Here is a 21,889-nt window from a genome sequence, read left to right on the forward strand (position 1 = left end):
GTTAACGTGGGGAGGCAGAGGAGGGGTGTTTCAAGGCAGTGTGTGGGAAAGCACAGAGGAGTGAAAAGGACGGGACTGCTTTGCATTTACTTTCTCTCTATATTGCATGTTTAAGTTCATAGCATCTTATAGAAGATTTTTAGTTCAGTTAAGAAATACGTAATTTTGTGAATTATAAATTGTTTTTGCTTTTTACAGGAGGGAAACACTCCACTTTTGTTTGCTATAAATTCTAGGAGACAGCAAATTGTGGAATTTCTGTTGAAGAACCAGGCAAATTTACATGCCATTGACAATTTCAGAAGGTGCAATAGTTTTTGGTTTTTTTGTTTGTTTGTTTTTTGTTTTTTTTTTTTCCTAAAAACCTGAATGTTCTAGAGTGGTAACAGTCACTCAAGTCAGAAATGTTAATAAGATTAACTTATAACTATTGGCATATAGTAAAAAATAACATGAATAATCAGTTAGGTAGAAAAGCAGTTATTTGGACTGAGAAACATAAAAAACAGTATATAGTAGGATTCATCTTCTCTTATAGACCGTTACTTGTAATCTGATATTTTTGGTCCTGTAATCTTATATTAGCTAAAGGGGTTTTGTATTTTATTAATTTTATAAAGCGTAGACTTTAACTTTCAGTTTACAACTACTACTATTACCATTATTATTATTATTATTACTATTATTATTATTATTATTATTGCTGTTGTTTTAAGCCTGCAGATAGCTCTTACTTATTTGATCCCTAGCTGATTTTGAATTACACTGTATCAGACTAGGAAAGCAATGGGGAAATCTTCATCTAAATCTTTGCCTACTTTAGATAAGTGACCTCAGCACAGTTTCTTGGCCATCAAAGGACTATAAATTAGCAACTTGTATTATGTCATATCCCAATGGAACATGAAGCTTGCTTGTTGTCCCTGCCTTTTAGTCTTGGTGGTAATTTACCCAGATGAACACTTTAGCACCCAAGATGCTTATACACATAAGCTAGTACATGTATATGGTTATTATGTCTATCCTGACAGGCAAGATACGAAATTGGTGAAGTGTATCCAATTTGCTAATGAAATATCTTTATTAAAGTTCTTGAGTGCTGTTATTTCTTTATTATTTTAGAACAGCCCTCATGCTTGCAGTACAGCATAACTCATCAAGTATCGTCAGCCTCCTCCTTCAACAAAATATAAATATCTTTTCTCAAGACCTGTTTGGCCAGACTGCCGAGGATTATGCTGTTTGTTATAATTTCAGAAGGTATGTGCTTATATTAAAAGACCAGTTAATACTAAATTAAGGTTTAAAATAATTACAAATATTGCATCTTATACATTAGGTGACAGTTCATAGTTTGTTTGAGGTAGTTTGGAATGGCAACAAGTTAGTCCACTTTTTAGCCAGAAATCAAACAGAAAGCTAGATTAGTTAGAAGTAGCAATGAATGCAAGATTCTTTCAGGACTTTTAAAGACCTTTATCCCTAGGGATCTCAGTGTTGTTCATTTTATTCCAAGTATAACCCTCATATGTGAGATATAAATAACGTCACATCTTTTACTTTTTTTCTTCTTTCTTTTGTTTTGAAACAAGGTCTCACTATGTTGCCCATGTCCCTGAGCTCAAGTGATTCTCCTGCCTCGGCCTCACAAACTGCTAGCCACCATGCCTGGCCTGACTTTTCTAATTAGTTATTGGGTCTTGAAATATCCAGTTTAGCAGAAAATCTTGTATTGTCCCCTGGGGCTACCTCCTATGCCTTCCTCCTTTGAATTTTTCAAAAAGCTAAGGGGTTCTCTAAGTCCAAGGAAGACAATCTTACTTTACAAGTCAGAAGAAGGGGGGAAAAGGCCATTCTAGTCATTCTGTTGTTTCCATTGATTCACTTGCTGTATTGCTGCCATTGTAACTGGTCCTGCAATCTGGTAATGATTAACTTTTGCCACCAGGATGCTGTTACTGATTCAGATCCCTCACTCTTCATGGTGACTTATACACAGAGTCCACAGCTGCAATGTTTTTTAGTTCATGTACATAGGCTCAGCCATTGTTCCCAGCACCCTGCTCTGGCAGCAAGGCCTCCTGGCTTTACCCACACACATAGTGAGTAAATTGACCTTTCCCCAACACTAAAAACCTTATTTGTAGCCCACGTCTTAGCTAGGCTTACCCTAGTCCTTCATGGTAAGTAATCCTTTGAGGCCAGTGTCCATCTTTTCTCTAGCAAATATTAGTTGGGATTGTACTCAACAGTCAGGGATGTTCAAATAATGTTGCAGGAAGAGAGAAGAGGTCCCTTTGCCTTTTGTTATCACATCTGTACCTTGAGGCTTTTTTCTGTCCTGTGTAGCAGCTTTTGTTAGATAGCAAAAGGTTCCACATTATCCTTCAATAGATAGTGGGCACCAACTTGCCGTTGGCCCCTCAAGTAATGTGTTTCCACAGTAATGAAAATCTCTAAGGCTACTTGCATCTCTACCTCAAGTTTTTTTTTTTAATTATACTTTAAGTTTTAGGGTACATGTGCACAACATGCAGGTTAGTTACATATGTATACATGTGCCATGTTGGTGTGCTGCGCCCATTAACTCATCATTTAACATTAGGTATATCTCCTAATGCTATCCTTCCCCTTTCCCCCCACCCCACAACAGGCCGCGGTGTATGATGTTCCCCTTCCTGTGTCCATGTGTTCTCATTGTTCAATTCCCACCTATGAGTGAGAACATTTTAAAATTCTACTTCACAGGAAGTCATTTGATAGAATTCTCTGTATCTAAAGTAAGTAATTTGTATTTCACAGAGCTAAGCCTCATCCATGACTTATGAGTATCCATGTATAAAACAGGGCTTTATACTTGCCCTAGCAGCACATATTCTAAAATTGGATCAATACAGAACAGATAAGCATGCCTGCTGCCTAACGATGGCACACAAATTCAGAAAGCATTCCACATGTTGCACAGTACCCAGAAGGTCGTTTGACTATTTGTTAACTAGCTTCAAGGAAACAATGTGAGTCAAACCAAAACAGGAGACACCCGATATGGAAATTGTTATTATGATCATTATGAAAGTATTCATATAAGGTGATCTGTGAAATGAGAACAGAGCTGAGTAGCATATGGGATGTCACATGCAAATATGTTGTTAGTCCATGACTTGGAAATGAGGAAACATAAACTTGCATCTCTTTCATGGAACCAAAAAACAATACAAGCAGGGCTTTGTCTTGTATGTCAGTCAGAGAGGACCCAGAAGATGCAGCCTCTAACACAGACCTGCTGGCTCCGAGTTTGAGGAGGTAGAGAAGGAATGGTAGTTGTCCCAGCCGGGTTTTGACACCTATTAGTTTTCTGCCCTTGGTGTGACTGATGTGCTCAGTAATAGGGGACAATTAGGTTATATGTTTTAATGAGATAATAATATATTTATGTATAAATTTGGTTACAAGTTATGAACTAGCTAAAATGCTGTGAACTACAAGCCACAATGAACAGAACTAATAACCAAAATTAGCACTTAGTAACATTCTCTGAAAACTGTGACATCCAAATATTAGAACCTATGAAAAAACACCCATCAGATTTTGTTTGAGATTCCAAAATGGTTTCAGCAATACAGTTCAAGAGTAAATTTTTCCATTGCTTTACGATTTCTCTGAACATTTGAACATGTTATCTCATTACATCCTCCTGACAACCTAGTGAAGTCAAATAGTAAAATCTCTACTTTTTAGAAGAAGCCATGGAGCCTAAGAGAAGCAACTCATCTGAAAACAAAATACCTATTAGTTACAGAGCGAGGACTTACTCTGAGTGCAGGACAGTTTCCAAGCTGTTAAGCTAGCTAACTAGAATTAATTTACTGAGCTATGCTTTTCTCGGTTTATGAGTACTCCCTGTTTTTCTTCTTTAATTAGAAGCTTAATAAGTTTATAGAGCTTAAAATTTTAAAGTGTATGGGACATTAGAGTTCCGATATTAGCTCTGATATTGTCTGAAATGCTTTAAGAATTTAATATGTTTGGTAAATATTTTTCATATCACTATTAAAATACTAATTTTATTTATTACATTTATTATGCATAGCATTCAACAACAAATTTTGGAACATAAAAATAAGATACTTAAAAGTCATCTTTGAAATGATAATCAAGGTAAGACTTCTGATAGTAAATTTCTCATTTCTCTTGGTGATCTTACTGATTTTAAAAGGCAAAATTACAGGCCAGGCATGGTGGCTCACACCTGTAATCCCAGCACTTCGGGAAGGTGAGGCGGGTGGATCACCTGAGGTCAGGATTTTGAGACAAGCCTGGCTAACATGGTGAAACCCCATCTCTACTAAAAATACAAAAATTAGCTGGGCATGGTGGCGGACACCTGTAATCCCAGCTACTCAGGAGGCTGAGGCAGGAGAATCACTTGAACCCAGGTGATTGCAGTGAGCTGAGATGGCACCACTGTACTCCAACCTGGATGAAAGAGCAAGACTCTATCTCCAAAAAAAACAAAAAAAAGTAAGATTACATATTTTTAATCATAAAAGAGCAGTTTAAAATATATATATTTATATATAAATTAATTTTTTTAATTTAATTTCTTTAGAATTCAGTTAAGAAGTTAGTTGTAGCTAATTCTCAATCTCAAACAGTATTGTCTGAAAAAAATTCATTTACCTACTTATGATCCCTGAAATTCTACATGATATTTTTGTATTAATAGAAATAAGAAATTAGATTTTTAAGTTAATATGTTGCATTTTCTTCTATAATTACATTGTTACAAATTGGACTTGTTATTGCAAATGGATCTTCTATTTAATTTTTATAGTAAATGGTTTATATTTAGTAAATAAAGTTAATTACAGTTGATTCTTGAATATCGTGGGGGTTAGGGACTCTGATCCCTGTGCAGTTGAAAATCTGAGTATAACTTTGACTCCTTCCAAACGTAACTACTAATAGCCTACTGTTGACTGGAAACTTTACTGATAATATAAACAGTCGATGAACACATAATTGGTATGTGTTGCATTATTATATACTATGCTTTTAAAATAAAGTAAGCTAGAGAAATGAACTGTTATAAAGAAAATCATCGAAAAGAAAAAATATACTTACTATTCATAAACATAAGTGAATCCTCCCAAAGGTCTTCATCTTTATCATCTTCAGGTTGATTAGGCTGAGGAGGAAGAAAACGGTTGGTTTTGCTGTCTCTGCGTTGCAGAAGCAGAAGAAAAATCTGCATATAAGTGGACCCCTGCAGTTCAAACTCTTGTTGTTCAAGGGTCAACTGTATTACACAGGAATCTGTGTCACTAAGAAAGTAACTGTCTTTAGAACTAGGAATTCAACAATCCCTTTCTGATACCATAAACAAATGGCAATAAGAACCATAAAACTGAGCCAGTGTGCACCCATACAAATAGGAGATTATTTTTGAAGATACCTACTGAATGCAGAAGACAGAAAAGTAATTCCTTCCCAAGAAGCAGAAGTTATGTTATGTATTCCTATACAAACAAGGTCTATTTGTAATTTATTCACCATAAGTTGGAAGCTCATGAGATATATTCACTTCTTAGAACAAGCTGTGTGTTTTTATGTGCTGGATAATTATCATAATAATAGTAATTTTGCTGGAAGAAGATAATCTGTTACCAGGCTGGGTGTGGTGGCTCATGCATGTAATCCCAGCACATGAGAGGCCAAGGAAGGCAGATCACTTGAGGTGAGGTGTTTGAGACCAGCCTGGCCAACATGGTGAAACCCTATCTCTACTAAAAGTACAAAAATTAGCCAGGCATGAGGGTGGTCACCTGTATTCCCAACTACTCGGAAGACTGAGGCAGGGGAATTGCTTGAACCCGCGAGGTGTAGATTGCAGTGAGCCGAGAATGCGCCACTGCACTCCAGCCTGGGTGACAGAGCAAGATTCCATCTCAAAAAAAAAAAAAAAAGATACTCTGTTACCATTAGGCAAGATATGATCATAATAAATATTCTAATAGCCAAACTCTAGGCTCAAAAAATGAAAAAAATTATAATAAAATTATAAAAATGGTTCACAATAACAAAAACATGACACCTAATGCATTGTACAGTCTGAACCGTATAAAGACACCGTTAATTTAGTAAATAATTATCAAACCACTTCTATAAGTTAGGTTTGGCAAATTGTAGGAGACAAAGATGGAATTGACATAGTTTTTGTCTTTAAGATGCTCATAATAGAATATAGATAACTGTTTAATTTTTGTGTTTTTTTCAACAGAATTTTTAAGAAAAATATTTTAATTCATTCATATACTTATCCACTTAAAAAATAACCATCATGTATCTTTTATAGACTAAGCATTTTTCCAATGTTACAAAATACATTTAAAAAATAGTTAGGAGATTGTTATTACCACTGTTATTTATTTTATTTACTACCTTAAGTAGTGCTTACTGTGTGTCCAATGTCATCTGGGAGCTTATAGTTATTATTTATTATGTATGTATCATGTTCAGTATGTGCCAGGCATGTTTACATTTGTGGTAATGAATGCAAGCTTCTAAAATGTGGGTAGGATTTAGGGTAAGCGTGCAGAGTGAGTGGAACTTTGCCAGGTAAGGAGGCAGAGGGATGATGCTTGGCAGAAGGAGTATCTAACAAGCTTGCATGTTTGACAGAAGCAGCAGCCATGAAGAATGAAAATTTTAAAACACAAGGAGCAAGTTCAAAAGATAGGACATCTGAGTGAACTTTGTAGAGTTTATGAGCAGTTCAAATTTGCTAGTGCAAAAAAATATATATGGAGTGCTTGGTAATGAGGTGAAAATAGCTTATAGTTATTATTTATTATGTATTTATTATGTTTAGTATGTGTCAGTGAAGGCAAGCTTAGGAAAGACTTTGTTGTTGTTTTACCTGTTTCTAGAAACAAGTTCAATGAAAGACCTTTAATAGTATAGAAATGAGTAGATCTTATCCTGTAGGCCAGGGGAAACTTCTGAGGTAGAATGCTTTCAGCTGCAAATTCTAGAAGACCTAACAGTGGCCAAAACTATAAGAACCAGACTTGTTTTGGTTGTCCAGCGATATTATTGGATCCCACTTGTTCCTCTTTCAGCTATGCTGTTGGCAGTGTCTTGTTCATGTCTCCTTTCATGGTTGGCTACTTAGCAACAGCTCCAAACATCATGTTATCACAAGACAGTATCTAAAGGCTGGAAGGGCTGCTTTTCTTCACATGTGTCTTTTAAATTGGGAGAAAACTCAGAAGCATGCAGGGGACTTTTTGTAATTTTTTTTTTTTTCCGGGGATGTAGTCTCACTCTATCACCAGTCTGGAGTCCAGTGGCACGATCTTGGCTCACTGTAGCCTCCACCTCCTAAGTTCAAGCAATTCTCCTACCCCAGCCTCCCGAGGAGCTGGGACAACAGGCACTTGCGACCACGCCCAGGTCATTTTTGTATTTTTAGTAGGGACGGGGTTTCACCATGTTGGCCAGGATGGTCTCGGTCTCTTGAGCTCGTGATCTGCCTGCCTCGGCCTCCCAAAGTGCTGGGATTACAGGCATGAGCCACCGTGCTCAACCCTTTTTGTAATATTTTATTAGCTGGGTCACACCACATGCTCCTTCCTAAACCAGGCACTGGGAAAGCAAATGTAGTTATCTGATTAGCTTAGAATAATCACTTATCCTTTGAAGCTGGGGAGGGGTATTGGGATAATAAATACCCAAATAAATTTGTGATTCTCCAGCAAGAAACAACAAGGAACTGCTCTTGGGTAGGGAGCCAGCTGTATTTGCTCTAGAAATTCATTGGAAAATTGTGAGCAGGGGAGGCATTAGATTCGATTTGAGAATTAGGGCATTCTGTTCAGGGTATAAGGCAGGGATTGGCAAGCTTTTTCTGTAAAGGGCCAAATAGGAAATATTTTAGGCCATGTGGTCTCTCTCTCTCTTTCAAAAATGATTTAAGCAGCTGAAGGCCATGCTTAAATGGCCTTAAGTAGCTCTGTCGTAGCTACTCAACCCTGCCATTGTAGTGTGAAAGCAGTCATAGGTGGCAAGTCAGTGAATAGGCATGACTGTACTCTCATAAAACTTCACTGAGAAAAAACATGGTAGGCAGGATTTGGCCTGTGGTCTACAGTGTGCTGACCCATTATGTAGAGGGTAGATGGAGGATAGATGTCACCTGGGAGCATGTAGTTATTATTTACTAGGTGTTTATTATGTTCATTAGATGCCATGCACTTTTAAATTTGTGGTGATGACTGCAAGCTTCTAAAAAAATGGGTAGGATTTAGGGGAAGCACGCAGAGTTAGTGAAGCTTTGCCAGGTAAAGAGGCAGAGGGATGATGTTTTCCAGAAGGAATATCTAACAAGCTTGCATGTTTGACAGAAACAGCAGCTATGAAGCCTTGAATTTTGAAAAAAAGACAAGAAGGTGCAAAAGGTAAGACATTTGAGTGTTTCTACTCTTAACCACGTAAAGAGGCTGGGAGACAAGGGAAGCTTCAGCCATAGTTAATGCTATAGATTCCTTGTCACAAATCCATGGAGTACATGAGTCTATTACAAAGTTTTCACCCATCCATGATAAAATAAAATGATGGCGCTCCAGTTTGTTCATTTGAAAATATTGGTATTGCCGGGGATGGTGGTTCCTGCCTGTAATCTCGTCAGTGTTGGAGGCTGAGATAGAAGCATCCCTTGAGTCTAGGAGGTCCAGCAGCCTGGGCAACATCACCAGACCCCGTGTCTATTTTTTCAAACACTGTAGCTGGGTGTGGTGTTCTGCACCTGTGATCCCAGCTACTTGGGAGGCTGAAGCAGGAGAATTACTTGAGCCTAGAAGTTTGAGCCTGCAGTTAGCTATGATAGCAACATTACAGTGTGGCCTGGGTGGCAGAGTGAGAACCCATCTCTAAGAAAAATCAAGTCAAATAAGACAAGATACAATAAAATAAAATGTTGGTTTTTTTCTTGGAATTATGCTTTTCTAATTTGTTTTGCTTTTTTTTATAAACTTAAGAAATGACAATAATAGTTGGTTTATATAAGGCTTTCAGAAACTGGCTTCTGCCCAAATCTCCATCTGCAGCCCTTTCTCTGTCTGCTCCTTTTTCTGGCATTACTGAGCTGCTGGTGATGCCCCATCATCATCCCTCTCAAGTAGACAAATACATACACTCTGGGAAGGTCAATTAGGTAATAGCACTAAATCAATGTTAATCCCTGCTTTCATAATTTTACATGGTTATATAGGAGAATGTCTTCATTATTAGAAAATACGAAAGGAAGAATCTGAGGTCAAGGAGAATAACGTTTGCAACTCACCCTCAAAGGCTCAGAAAAAAGTAATGTGTGTTTGAGTGTGTGTAAATGCACTTATGTTAATGGGCAGAGAGTGGAAGCAAATGTAGTAAAAATGTTAACATTTGGGGAATCTGTGTGAAGGATATATGGGAATTTTGTAATGTTCTCATAAATTTAAGACTGAAATTATGTCAGAATACAAATTTAAAAGAAAAAATGCACAGTTAAGTAAATCACAACAAAAATCAATAGATAAATGACAGATTCATAAGAAATATGTGTAAGGCACATGACAAAGGGATTATTTCATAAATATATGAAATCAACAAAGAAAAGATAGAACAGTAAAGCAATAGGAAAAGAAAACAAGAAGACAATTCACCATAAACAAAAATGGCTTCTAAAGCACTCACGCAGAAAACTCTACCACAACCATATTAGAATATAGTTAAATATATGTATATATAATTAGTCTTTTCAGTTATCCAGCTGCCAGAAAAGTAAGAGCCCTTTAATGTCTTTGATGTATAAAATTAAAATTTCTCCAATGCAAAAATCCCGGTTATAAATACTATGCACTTTGAAATGTAAGAATACTAGCTAAAAATAAATGGCCATCAGTAGGGGCTTGGGTAAATGATGGCACATCCATTATCAATTCATATAATATATCTACAAATAACACTTACAAAATAAGTGACACAGATATATGTGTACTAATATAGACTAGTTACCAAGGTATGCTAGGTGAAAAAACAAAGATGTATGTGTGTAAATATATATCTACACAACTTCCCATGCCTATTTTCTGCTAATTTTTGAAAGCTTATAATTGACAGAGGAATGTGGGAACTGTCAGATAGTGGTGATAGAAAGATAGCATTTACTGCATATTTCTTTGTAATGCTTTAAATATTTTAATCAAGCATATATATTATCAATAAAAGATGAACCAAACTTTTCACAAAATTTAATGCCTATTTTAAAACCTCCTGTTAACATAGTCTACTTTTAATTATTTACTCTCAATATTTATATTAATACTTGTACCTTTCATAGTACTTTATATACCATATTTTCCAATATTGAGTTAAATAGTTACAGTTCCAATGGGATACTCTAATTACTGATTTAAAAAAAATAAAAAACAGGATCTCACTCTGTCACCCAGGCTAGAATGCAGTGGTGTGATTACAGCTCACCACAACCTTGAACTCCTTGGCTCAAGCAATACTCCCACCTCAGCCTCCTGAGTAGCTGGGACTACAGGTGTGTGCCACCCACACCTGCCTAATTCTTTAAAAAAATGTTTTTGTGATGACAGGGTCTCCCTATGTTGCCCAGGCAGGTCTTGAACTCCTGTCCTCAAGCAATCCTGCCATGTTGGCCTCTCAGAGCATTGGGAGTACAGGCATGAGTCACTGCAGCTAGCTCCTAATTAGTGATCTTAATTATCTTCATTATTTCCATGTAAAATATGTGCTCTTGTGATGAAGGGATTCAAGACGTCTGACTAGAGGCATCTAGCATTTGCCTCCTCCACAAAGAAGAACCAAAATAGTGAGTGATCACACTTCTAATAGATAATCTAAAAAAGAATACTGGAATTCAACAGAGAAGTAACAGGAAACACCTAACGCAAGGAAAGAGAGGGAAGAGAGGCAGCCTGCCTGGCTAGGGTTGGCTGGGAACCTCAAAGAGGCTCCACAATGTGGGAAAAAGGTAAGTAAGAGACCCCCATTGGTCTACACTCCCACCACAAACTCCTGCAATTCTAGCCACAGGAGAGCACCTTGACACTCGTGGGCCCTAAGACTTACACAGGGAGCTGCCTGGAAACTGTGTGATGGCATTGCTCCAGAGAGGGAGCCTATGCTGCATTGCATACATCTCCTGAGCTCTAAGGAGCCATTTTGAGAGTCCAGCCATCACCAGACTGCATCCTGCTCTGGAGCCCAGCAGTCCCTACATTTTCACATCTCTAGAGATCTATTGACTTCCCATATCTACAGCCATTACTACTGCTGGCTACTGCCATCAGAGCTGAAGTGCGAGCCACTGGCAGCAATCCTGACACTCCCAAGCAGCAGGACCACCACACATTTACAAGTGCCCTGCTGGCTACCCCACCTGCAGCCACCACCTAGAGCTGACACATACGTCCCCCAGCCACCTGCTTACAGTTGCTGCCACTGAAAAGAAATGAGGAAGTCAAATTGTCCTTTTTTGCAGATAATATGATCTTATATTTAGAAAAATCTAAAGACTTCACCAAAAATCTCCCATCAGTAAATTTAGTAAAGTTGCAGGAGACAAAATTAACATACAAAAACCAGTTGCCTTTCTATACACCAATAATGAAATAGATGAGAAATAAATCAAGAAGCCAATCCCATTTCAAATAGCTACAAAAAACGAAATACCTAGGAATAAGTTTAACCAACAAGGTTAAAGACTCTACAAGGAAAACTACAAGACACTGATGAAATAAATTGAAGGGACACAAACAAGTGGAAAGACATCCCATGCTCATGGATTGGAAGAACTAATATTATTACAATGACTGTACTGCCCAAAGCAATCTACAAATTCAATGCAATTTCTTTTCTTTTTTTTTTTAATTATTATTATTATTTTTTTTAATTGATCATTCTTGGGTGTTTCTCGCAGAGGGGGATTTGGCAGGGTCACAGGACAATAGTGGAGGGAAGGTCAGCAGATAAACAAGTGAACAAAGGTCTCTGGTTTTCCTAGGCAGAGGACCCTGCGGCCTTCCGCAGTGTTTGTGTCCCTGGGTACTTGAGATTAGGGAGTGGTGATGACTCTTAACGAGCATGCTGCCTTCAAGCATCTGTTTAACAAAGCACATCTTGCACCGCCCTTAATCCATTCAACCCTGAGTGGATACAGCACATGTTTCAGAGAGCACAGGGTTGGGGGTAAGGTCACCGATCAACAGGATCCCAAGGCAGAAGAATTTTTCTTAGTACAGAACAAAATGAAAAGTCTCCCATGTCTACCTCTTTCTACACAGACACGGCAACCATCCGATTTCTCAATCTTTTCCCCGCCTTTCCCCGCTTTCTATTCCACAAAACCGCCATTGTCATCATGGCCCGTTCTCAATGAGCTGTTGGGTACACCTCCCAGACGGGGTGGTGGCCAGGCAGAGGGGCTCCTCACTTCCCAGTAGGCGCGGCCGGGCAGAGGCGCCCCTCACCTCCCAGACGGGGCGGCTGGCCGGACGGGGGGCTGACCCCCCCCACCTCCCTCCTGGACGGGGCGGCTGGCCGGGCAGAGGGGCTCCTCACTTCCCAGTAGGGGCGGCCGGGCAGAGGCGCCCCTCACCTCCCGGACGGGGCGGCTGGCTGGGCGGGGGGCTGACCCCCCCACCTCCCTCCCGGACGGGCGGCTGGCCGGGCAGAGGCGCCCCTCACCTCCCGGACGGGGCGGCTGGCCAGGCGGGGGGCTGACCCCCCCACCTCCCTCCCGGATGGGGCGGCTGGCCGGGCCGGGGGGCTGACCCCCCCACCTCCCTCCCGGACGGGCAGCTGGCCGGGCAGAGGCGCCCCTCACCTCCCGGACGGGGTGGCTGGCCAGGCGGGGGGGCTGACCCCCCCACCTCCCTCCCGGACGGGGCGGCTGGCCGGGCGGGGGGCTGACCCCCCCACCTCCCTCCCGGACGGGCAGCTGGCCGGGCAGAGGCGCCCCTCACCTCCCGGACGGGGTGGCTGGCCAGGCGGGGGGGCTGACCCCCCCACCTCCCTCCCGGACGGGGCGGCTGGCCGGGCGGGGGGCTGACCCCCCCACCTCCCTCCCGGACAGGGCGGCTGGCCGGGCAGAGGGGCTCCTCAGTTCCCAGTAGGGGCGGCCGGGCAGAGGCACCCCTCAACTGCCGGACGGGGCGGCTGGCCGGGCGGGGGGCTGACCCCCCCACCTCCCTCCCGGACGGGGCGGCTGGCCGGGCAGAGGGGCTCCTCAGTTCCCAGTAGGGGCGGCCGGGCAGAGGCACCCCTCAACTGCCGGACGGGGCGGCTGGCCGGGCGGGGGGCTGATCCCCCCACCTCCCTCGCGGATGGGGCGGCTGGCCGGGCCAGGGGCTGATCCCCCCACCTCCCTCCCGGACGGGGTGGCTGGCCGGGCGGGGGGCTGACCCCCCCCACCTCCCTCCCGGACCGGACGAGGTGGCTGCCGGGCGGAGACGCTCCTCACTTCCCAGACGGGGTGGCTGCTGGGCGGAGGGGCTCCTCACTTCTCAGACGGGGCGGCTGCCGGGCGGAGGGGCTCCTCACTTCTCAGACGGGGCGGTTGCCAGGCAGAGGGTCTCCTCACTTCTCAGACGGGGCGTCTGGGCAGAGACGCTCCTCACATCCCGGACGGGGCGGCAGGGCAGAGGTGCTCCCCACATCTCAGACGATGGGCGGCCGGGCAGAGACGCTCCTCACTTCCCAGATGTGATGGCGGCTGGGAAGAGGCGCTCCTCACTTCCTAGATGGGATGGCGGCCGGGCAGAGACGCTCCTCACTTTCCAGACTGGGCAGCCAGGCAGAGGGGCTCCTCACATCCCAGACGGTGGGCAGCCAGGCGGAGACGCACCTCACTTCCCAGACGGGGTGGCGGCCGGGCAGAGGCTGCAATCTCGGCACTTTGGGAGGCCAAGGCAGGCTGCTGGGAGGTGGAGGTTGTAGCGAGCCGAGATCACGCCACTGCACTCCAGCCTGGGCGCCATTGAGCACTGAGTGAACGAGACTCCGTCTGCAATCCCGGCACCTCGGGAGGCCGAGGCTGGCGGATCACTCGCGGTTAGGAGCTGGAGACCAGCCCGGCCAACACAGCGAATCCCTGTCTCCACCAAAAAAATATGAAAACCAGTCAGGCGTGGCGGCGCGCGCCTGCAATCGCAGGCACTCGGCAAGCTGAGGCAGGAGAATCAGGCAGGGAGGTTGCAGTGAGCCAAGATGGCAGCAGTACCGTCCAGTTTCGGCTCGGCATCAGAGGGAGACCGTGGAAAGAGAGGGAGAGGGAGAGGGAGCTCAATGCAATTTCTATAAAAATTTTAATGTCTTTTTTTCACCAAAATAGAAAAATTACTAAAATTTATATGAAACCAATAAAAAGCCCAAATAGCCAAAGCAATTTTGTGCAAAAAGAACAAAGCTGGAGGCATCACACTACTTACCTTCAAAGCATTACAATGCTGTAGTAACCAAAATAGCATGGTATTGATACAAAAGCAGACACAAAGATCAATGGAATAGAATAGAAGAACCCAGAAATAAATCCTCATATTCATAGCCAACTGATTTTCAAGAAACGCTCCAAGAACATACATGGGGGAAAGGAGAGTATCTTCAAAAACTGAATAACTATATGGAGAAGAATGAAACTAGACCCTATCTCTCACCATACACAAAAATCAAATCAAAATGGATTAAAGACTTAAGGGGGTCTAAGAACTGAAACTGTAAAACTACTAGAAAAAACGTAGGAGAAAAACTTCAGGACATTGGCCTAGGCAAATACTTAATGGCAAAGACTTCAAAGTACAGGCAACGAAAACAAAAATAGACAAATGTGATTATATTAAACTAAAACCTTCTCCACAGCAAAGAAAACAATCAACAGAGTAAAGAGACAACCAGTTGAATGGGAGAAAATATTTGCAAACTATTTATCTCATAAGAGACTAATATCCAGAATATACAATGAACTGAAACAGCTCAACAGTAAACAAACAACCCCTGCCCCCAAATAACCTCATTAAAAAGTGGGCAAAGGAAAGGGATATTTAAAAATGCTCCAGGCATGGTGGCTCATGCCTGTAATCCAAGCACTTTGGGAGGTCAAGGCGGGCGAATCACATGAGGTCAGGAGTTTGAGACCAGCCTGGCAAACGTGGTGAAACCCCATCTCTACTAAAAATACAAAAATTAGCCTGGTGTGGTGGTGCATGCCTGTAATTCCAGCTACTCAGGAGGCTGAGGCAGGAGAATCGCTTGAACCCAGGAGGTAGAGGTTGCAGTGAGCTGAGATCGTGCCACTGCACTCCAGCCTGGGTGACAGAGTGAGACTCTGTCTCAAAAAAAAAAAGCTCAACACCATTAATCATCTGGGAAATACAAATCAAAACCACAATAAGGTATCATCTTACCCCAATCAGAATGGCTATTATTAAAAAGACAAAAAATAGCAGATGTGGCAAGGATGTGGAGAAAAAGAATAGTACAGCCACTGTGGAAAACGGTATGATTTCTAAAGCAAACTGAAATAGAATTACCATTCGGTCCTGCTGTAGGGGTTTAGTCAGGATGGTGGGGAAAATTATAAGCCACAAACCTTCTTGGAAGGCCTGAAGGGTTTTGCAAAAGTCTCAGGATAAGGTTATGTCTGAAGGCAACCTAATCCATACCTTGAGTAAATAGCTTAAAGTGGGTACAAAGGAAGGTAGAGTAGTTTACCTGACTAGTTTGTTTACTCATGTGGTCCTAAGACTAACCTTTGATCTACCACAGGTGCTTAATTGCTTTCTACTCAGGAAGTCCGGGAAGTCTGCAATGTCAATTACCCTCTAGTTGTGTTTACTCACAACCTTTGTCAATTAATCTTTACTGAATAAATGCAAGTCTTGCTGACTGATCAAGGCCGTGGCTGTGACTAAGTGGCCTGGACGCTAGGCTGGACTGGCAAAGCAGAACATCTGTGTGTCAGTGTACTTTATTCATCCGTCGTTGGGTCAGGGTCTGGAGGACAGACTCCCACATCCTGCAGTTTCACTAATGGGGTTTTATTCAAAGGAAAAGAAATCAGCATATCAAAAGTATACCTGCATCCTCATGTTTATTGCAGCACTACTCACAGTAGCAAAGTTATGGAATCAACCTAAGTGTCCATTAATGGATAAATGGATAAAGAAAATGTATATATTCACAATGAAATACTATTTGGCCATAAGAAAGAATGAAATCATGCCATTTGCAGCAACATGGATGGAACTAGAGGTCATTATGTTAAGAAAAATGAGCCAGACACAGAAAGACAAATATCACATATACTCACTCATATGTAGGAGCTAAAAAAAGTTGATCTCATGAGGTAGAGAGTGAATTGTAGATACTAGAGGCTGGGAAGGGCATGTGGGTTGGGGGAGGTACGAAGGGAGGTTGTTTAATGAGTGCAAACATATAGTTAAAAGGAATAAGTTCTAACGTTCAATAGCAGAGTAGAGTGACTATATTTAACAACAATTTATTGCATATTTCAAAATTGCTAGAAGAGAACATGTATTAATATGTTCCCAATACATAGAAATGATAAATACTCAAGGTGAGGGATTCCCTAAATACCCTGACTTTATCATTACACAGTCTATGTATTTAACAAAGTATCACATGTACCCCATAAATATGTACAAATGTCATTCATCAATTTAAAAAAATTCAAAAAAAAATTGCTGTTGCATTTAGTTAAATAATTATATTTAGGTAACCTTCTACCAGGCCTATTTTATTAAAAATGCTGAATTAATAAAATACCTTTCAGTGATTACTGCTATAAATATATTACCTTCTCTTTTAATTTATAGTAGTAAATTATTTCAATTTCTTTTTCTTTTTTTTTTTTTTTTTGAGATGGAGTCTCGCTCTGTTGCCCAGGCTGGAGTGCAATGACATGATCTTGGCTCACTGCAAGCTCCACCTCCCAGGTTCACGCCATTCTCCTGCCTCAGCCTCCTGAGTAGCTGGGACTACAGGTGCCCGCCACCACACTCGGCTAATTTTTTGTATTTTTAGTAGAGATGGGGTTTCACCATGTTAGCCAGGATGGTCTCAATCCCCTGGCCTCGTGATCCGCCCACCTCGGCCTCCCAAAGTGCTGGGATTACAGGCGTGAGCCACCACGCCCGGCCAACCTCAATTTCTTGATAGTCTATCACTTTTGAATTTTAGAATTAAAATCATTACTAATTTTCAAATATACTTCAATATTCTATTCACCACAATGTTATTTAGAATTTTTGCATCTGTGGGTATAAATGACCTGAGTCAATAATTTCTTGGTTTTTTTTTTTTCCTGTACTTACTATGATGGTCTAAGAGTGATGATGTATTTTAAAGTTGCAATGAAGCAATTACAAGAAATAAAATATTGGTATATACTTCTCTATAACTTGAAATGATTTCAATTAATAAAATGATCTGATCTTTAAACATGAACTATATTCAGATATGGATCTATCTTCTGTATTTTAAAAAATCAACTTTAGCAAGATATTATTTACATACAATAATTGTATCTATTCAGTGTTCATTTTGACAGTGTGTGCACCCATGAAACCACCAACACAATAAAAATACAGAACATTTTTATCAACTCTAAAAGATTCCTTGTGCCCCTTTGCTGGCCATCCCTGTCTCTGGCCTAGCTTCAGGCAACTGCTAATCTGAATTTTGTTACTTCACTATTAGTTTGCATTTCTAGAATTTTATATGAATACAACCATATGGTACATAATACTCTTTCATGTCTGGCATCTTTTACTCAAAATGACTGAAATTCATCCATGTTGTCACATGTATCATTAGTCTGTTCCTTTTTATTGCTGAGTAGTTTTCTAGTTATGGATACACCACATTATATCTATTCACTTTGATGATAAACATGTAGGTTGCTTCCAGTTTGAGGCTATTGTGAATAAAAGTCTTGTCAACATTCATGTACAAGTCTTTGTTTGGACATAAGTTTTCATTTCACCTGGGTTAAATACTGGAGTGGAATGGCTGGGTTGTATGGTAGCTATGTGTTTAACTTTTTAAGAATTTGCCAAAGTATTTTACAAAGTCTTTGTGCCATTTTACATCCCTACCTGCCACGCATGAGTTCCAGTTGCTCAACATCTTCCAACACTTGGTACTGTTGATCATTTTAATTTCATTAATTTTAATGAGTGTGTAAAAGTGTCTCATTATGGTTTTGATTTGTATTTCCCTGGTGGCTTATGTTGAAATCCTTTCTTGTCCCCATTGACCATTTCATATCTTATTTTATGAATTATCTCTATTGAAGTATATTGTCATTTTTATTGAGTTGTCCTTTTACAATTGGGTTATAAATTTCTTTACATTTTCAGGAAACAAATCTTTTGTCAGAAATTTATTGCAACTATTTCTTCCCCTTCTGAGTCTTTCCTTCTCACCTTCTTAAGTGCTTTCAAAGGACAAGAGTTTTTAATTTTGAAAATTCAAAGTTATGATTTCTGTTTTTATAGTTCATTATTTATGTGTACTAACTTAAAAATCTTTTTTTTTCTTTTTTTTCTTTTTTTTTGCCGGTCTCAGTCTTTAATCCTGGCAGGGATTCACGGGCGCACACACACACACTCAGGATTCAGATCTTGTTGAAAGCTGCGATATCGACACTCTGCACGTGCTCCTCAAACTTGGTGATCTCCTCCAGCAAGTCTGTCCCCACCTTGTCGTCCTCCACCACACACTGAATCTGTAGCTTCCGGATACCGTAGCCCATGGGCACCAGCTTGGAGGCCCCCTAGACCAGCTCTTCCAGCTGGATGGAGCACACACAGGCCTCCAGCTGGGCCATGTCAGTCTCATCGTCCCAAGGCTTGAAATCCAGCAGGATGGAGGACTTGGCCACCAGTTCAGGCTTCTTGGCCTTCTTCTCCGCGTACTGCTGCAGCCGCTCCTCCTGCAGCTGTGCCGCCTTCTTGTCCTCCTCCTCATTGTCGCTGCCAAACAGGTCAGTGTCATCATCGTCGTCATCCTCTGCTGGTGTGAATGGCTTCTTGGCCAGGGGCTCCACTTGGCGCATGGGAGACATGTGCTGGGTCTGTGGGGCCGTGGCCCGGTGGCCAGGCGAGTTCTTCTCCAGCACGTTCAGCCGGGCCTCCAGCTTGGAGATGACCTGCTGCAGCTCCTGTACCACACTGCGCAGGCTCTGGTTCTCCACTTTCAGACTGGTGATCCGGACGACGAGCTCGCTGTGGTCTCCGCTGGGGCCGCTGGAGGCCCCGGGGCCTGAGTTTCCGGCCAGGGATTTCTGGATGTTCTCTCTGGCTCTCGCGATGTCACGGAGGATCACGCTGGCGTCGTTCTCTTGGCGGGAGGCACCGGCCACAGGCCCATTCATCTGCTCGTAGAATCTCCTTTCTGCGTCGTCATATTTGAACTTGTCGAACCAGATCTTCTCATGTACTAGGAAGTTTGTAGCCATTTTTCTGACGCCTGCCAAGGACGCGACGACCAGGGAGGAGGAATCGGCGGACGCGGGACACCTGAGGAAAGGGTACTACCTTAAAAATCTTTTCCTATAGTCTTGGTAAATTTTAAATGATAGCTCTATAAATGATATTTATAAGTTATGGTTATTTTTTTTTTTAGTTTTTCATTAATTTTGATCAATTGTATCTTACTAGGAGATCACCCATTTACTGTAGGTAGTATTCTCTTCCTACTATATTTCATATCTACCTACTACATTTCATATCATTCCTACTACATTTCATATCTACCTACATTTACATGTAGGTAGATATGAAATGATTCAATATCCATGTCTCCTTTTACTCATTACAAATCTTACATAATTTTGCTCTCTCTTATCTCTTTACCTTACTCGGGTTTATGTGAGGTATTTAGTTTACTAAGGTTTTAAAATATTTTCATATTCATTTTAGTAGGAAAAGGACGGATTATTTTATAAATTTCATTGCCTGAATAAGTTTAGGTATGGTTTCGGGTACAATAAGAAAGAGATAAAATGGAATGCTTTATGCCAAACATGTTTATTTTTATCACACAGCTAAAGTCTGTAGTTAAGTTGCTGCTACTTTTGAGTCAATAACATCAAGACCAGTGTTGGTGAATCTTTTGGCCTTTCCCCAATGCTTGAAAGAAGATCACCACTGCTGGAGGCATAATGTACAAGGCAGGAAAAGGGATGGAATTGATGGTGACAGCTAAGTCTGTCTTTTTTCTTAGGAAATAAAGGTTTTCCTAGGATACATTTAAGTGTTTTGCTTCTCTTGGGCTGAGGCAGGTCATTTGGCCACTACCAGTTTCAGAAGATGATGATGTTACAGCACTATTCACAATAGCAAAGACATGGAATCAACCTAAATGCTCATCAATAGTAGACTGCATAAAGAAAATGTGGTACATATACATCATGGAATACTATGCAGCCATTAAAAAGAATGAGATCATGTCCTTTGCAGGGATATGGATGGAGCTGAAGGCCATTATCCTTAGCAAACTAACGCAGGAACAGAAAACCAAACATCACATATTCTCACTTATAACCAAACACCACATGTTCTCACTTATAAATGGAAGCTAAGTGATGAGAACACATGGACACATACAGAGAAACAACACACACAGGGGCCTACTGGAGGGTGAAGAGTGGGAAGAAGGAGAGGATCAGGAAAAATAACTAATGGGTTCTGGGTGATGAAATAATATGTACAACAAGCCCCCATGATATGGGTTTACCTGTGTAACAAACCTGCACAGGTACTACTGAACTTAAAATAAAAGTTAAATTTAAAAAAAGATAAAGTAAGCCGGGCACGGTGGCTCATGCCTGTAATCCCAGCACTTTGGGAGGCCAAGACGGGTGGATCACAAGGTCAAGAGATCAAGACCATCCTGGCCAACATGGTGAAACCCCGTCTCTACTAAAAATACAAAAAATTAGCCGGGCGTGGTGGAGGGTGCCTGTAGTCCCAGCTACTCAGGAGGCTGAGGCAGGAGAATCACTTGAACCCGGGAGGCAGAGGTTGCAGTGTGCCGAGATTGCGCCACTGCACTCCAGCCTGGCGACAGAGTGAGACTCCGTCTCAAAAAAAAAAAAAAAAGATAAAGCAGTGAGAGAGGAGTTTGGGGATTGCACGCTGGTTCAGCAAAGCAACATTTTCCCAAAAGATACACAAACTATACAGAAGACCACTTTAAAATATTATATGTGAAGTTTAAGTTTTAAGATTAAAAATTCAGAAACTGTAAAAGAATACACATTTAAACATGTAGAAAATAAAATTATGTGAATGGGATAATATCACATGCAAAGTCGAGACAAGGAATGGATGTTTTTTAAAAAAGGAGTTACTCCCTTTAACATAAACAGCTGTTTTAAATTAATAAGATAAACAATCCAAAAAGAGAAATGTATAAATAAATGCTTTATAAAGGCAATTTGCAGAATAGCAAATTCAAATGGCCAAGACACATTTGGAGTCATATTTATATACAAATTATAATTAGTTATCACTTGGAACTTGTAAAATTTCTCAAGGTTAGAGTAACAGCAGCTGGGCACGGTGGCTCACGCCTGTAATCCCAGCACTTTGGGAGGCCGAGGCAGGTGAATCATTTGAGGTCAGGAGTTTGAGACCATCCTGGCCAACGTAATGAATCCCTGTCTCTACTAAAAATACAAAAATTAGCTGGGCATGGTGGCAGGCGCCTGTAATCCCAGCCACTTGGGAAGCTGAGGCACGAGAATCGCTTGAACCCAGGAGGGAGAGGATGCAGTGAGCCAAAATTGTGCCTC

At 41.4% G+C, this 21,889-nt stretch overlaps 3 pseudogenes across 1 annotated transcript in view; 2 read left to right on the forward strand and 1 right to left on the reverse strand.

Moving 5' to 3' along the window:
• Nucleotides 1-20,338, forward strand: part of ANKRD19P (ankyrin repeat domain 19, pseudogene) — a 28,847-nt pseudogene extending 8,509 nt beyond the window's left edge. Inside the window, exons 4-10 of the transcript NR_026868.1 lie at nt 199-305; nt 1,123-1,260; nt 4,091-4,158; nt 8,406-8,459; nt 10,819-11,044; nt 18,658-19,621; nt 20,138-20,338. The product of NR_026868.1 is annotated as an ankyrin repeat domain 19, pseudogene (transcript). The remainder of the gene's footprint in view (nt 1-198; nt 306-1,122; nt 1,261-4,090; nt 4,159-8,405; nt 8,460-10,818; nt 11,045-18,657; nt 19,622-20,137) is intronic.
• Nucleotides 2,858-2,960, forward strand: RNU6-714P (RNA, U6 small nuclear 714, pseudogene; annotated as a pseudogene).
• EEF1DP2 (eukaryotic translation elongation factor 1 delta pseudogene 2) lies at nt 18,647-19,622 on the reverse strand (annotated as a pseudogene).
• Nucleotides 20,339-21,889: the final 1,551 nt, after the last annotated feature.

This window comes from Homo sapiens, chromosome 9 (assembly GCF_000001405.40).
Source record: "Homo sapiens chromosome 9, GRCh38.p14 Primary Assembly".
Lineage (NCBI taxonomy): Eukaryota > Metazoa > Chordata > Mammalia > Primates > Hominidae > Homo > Homo sapiens.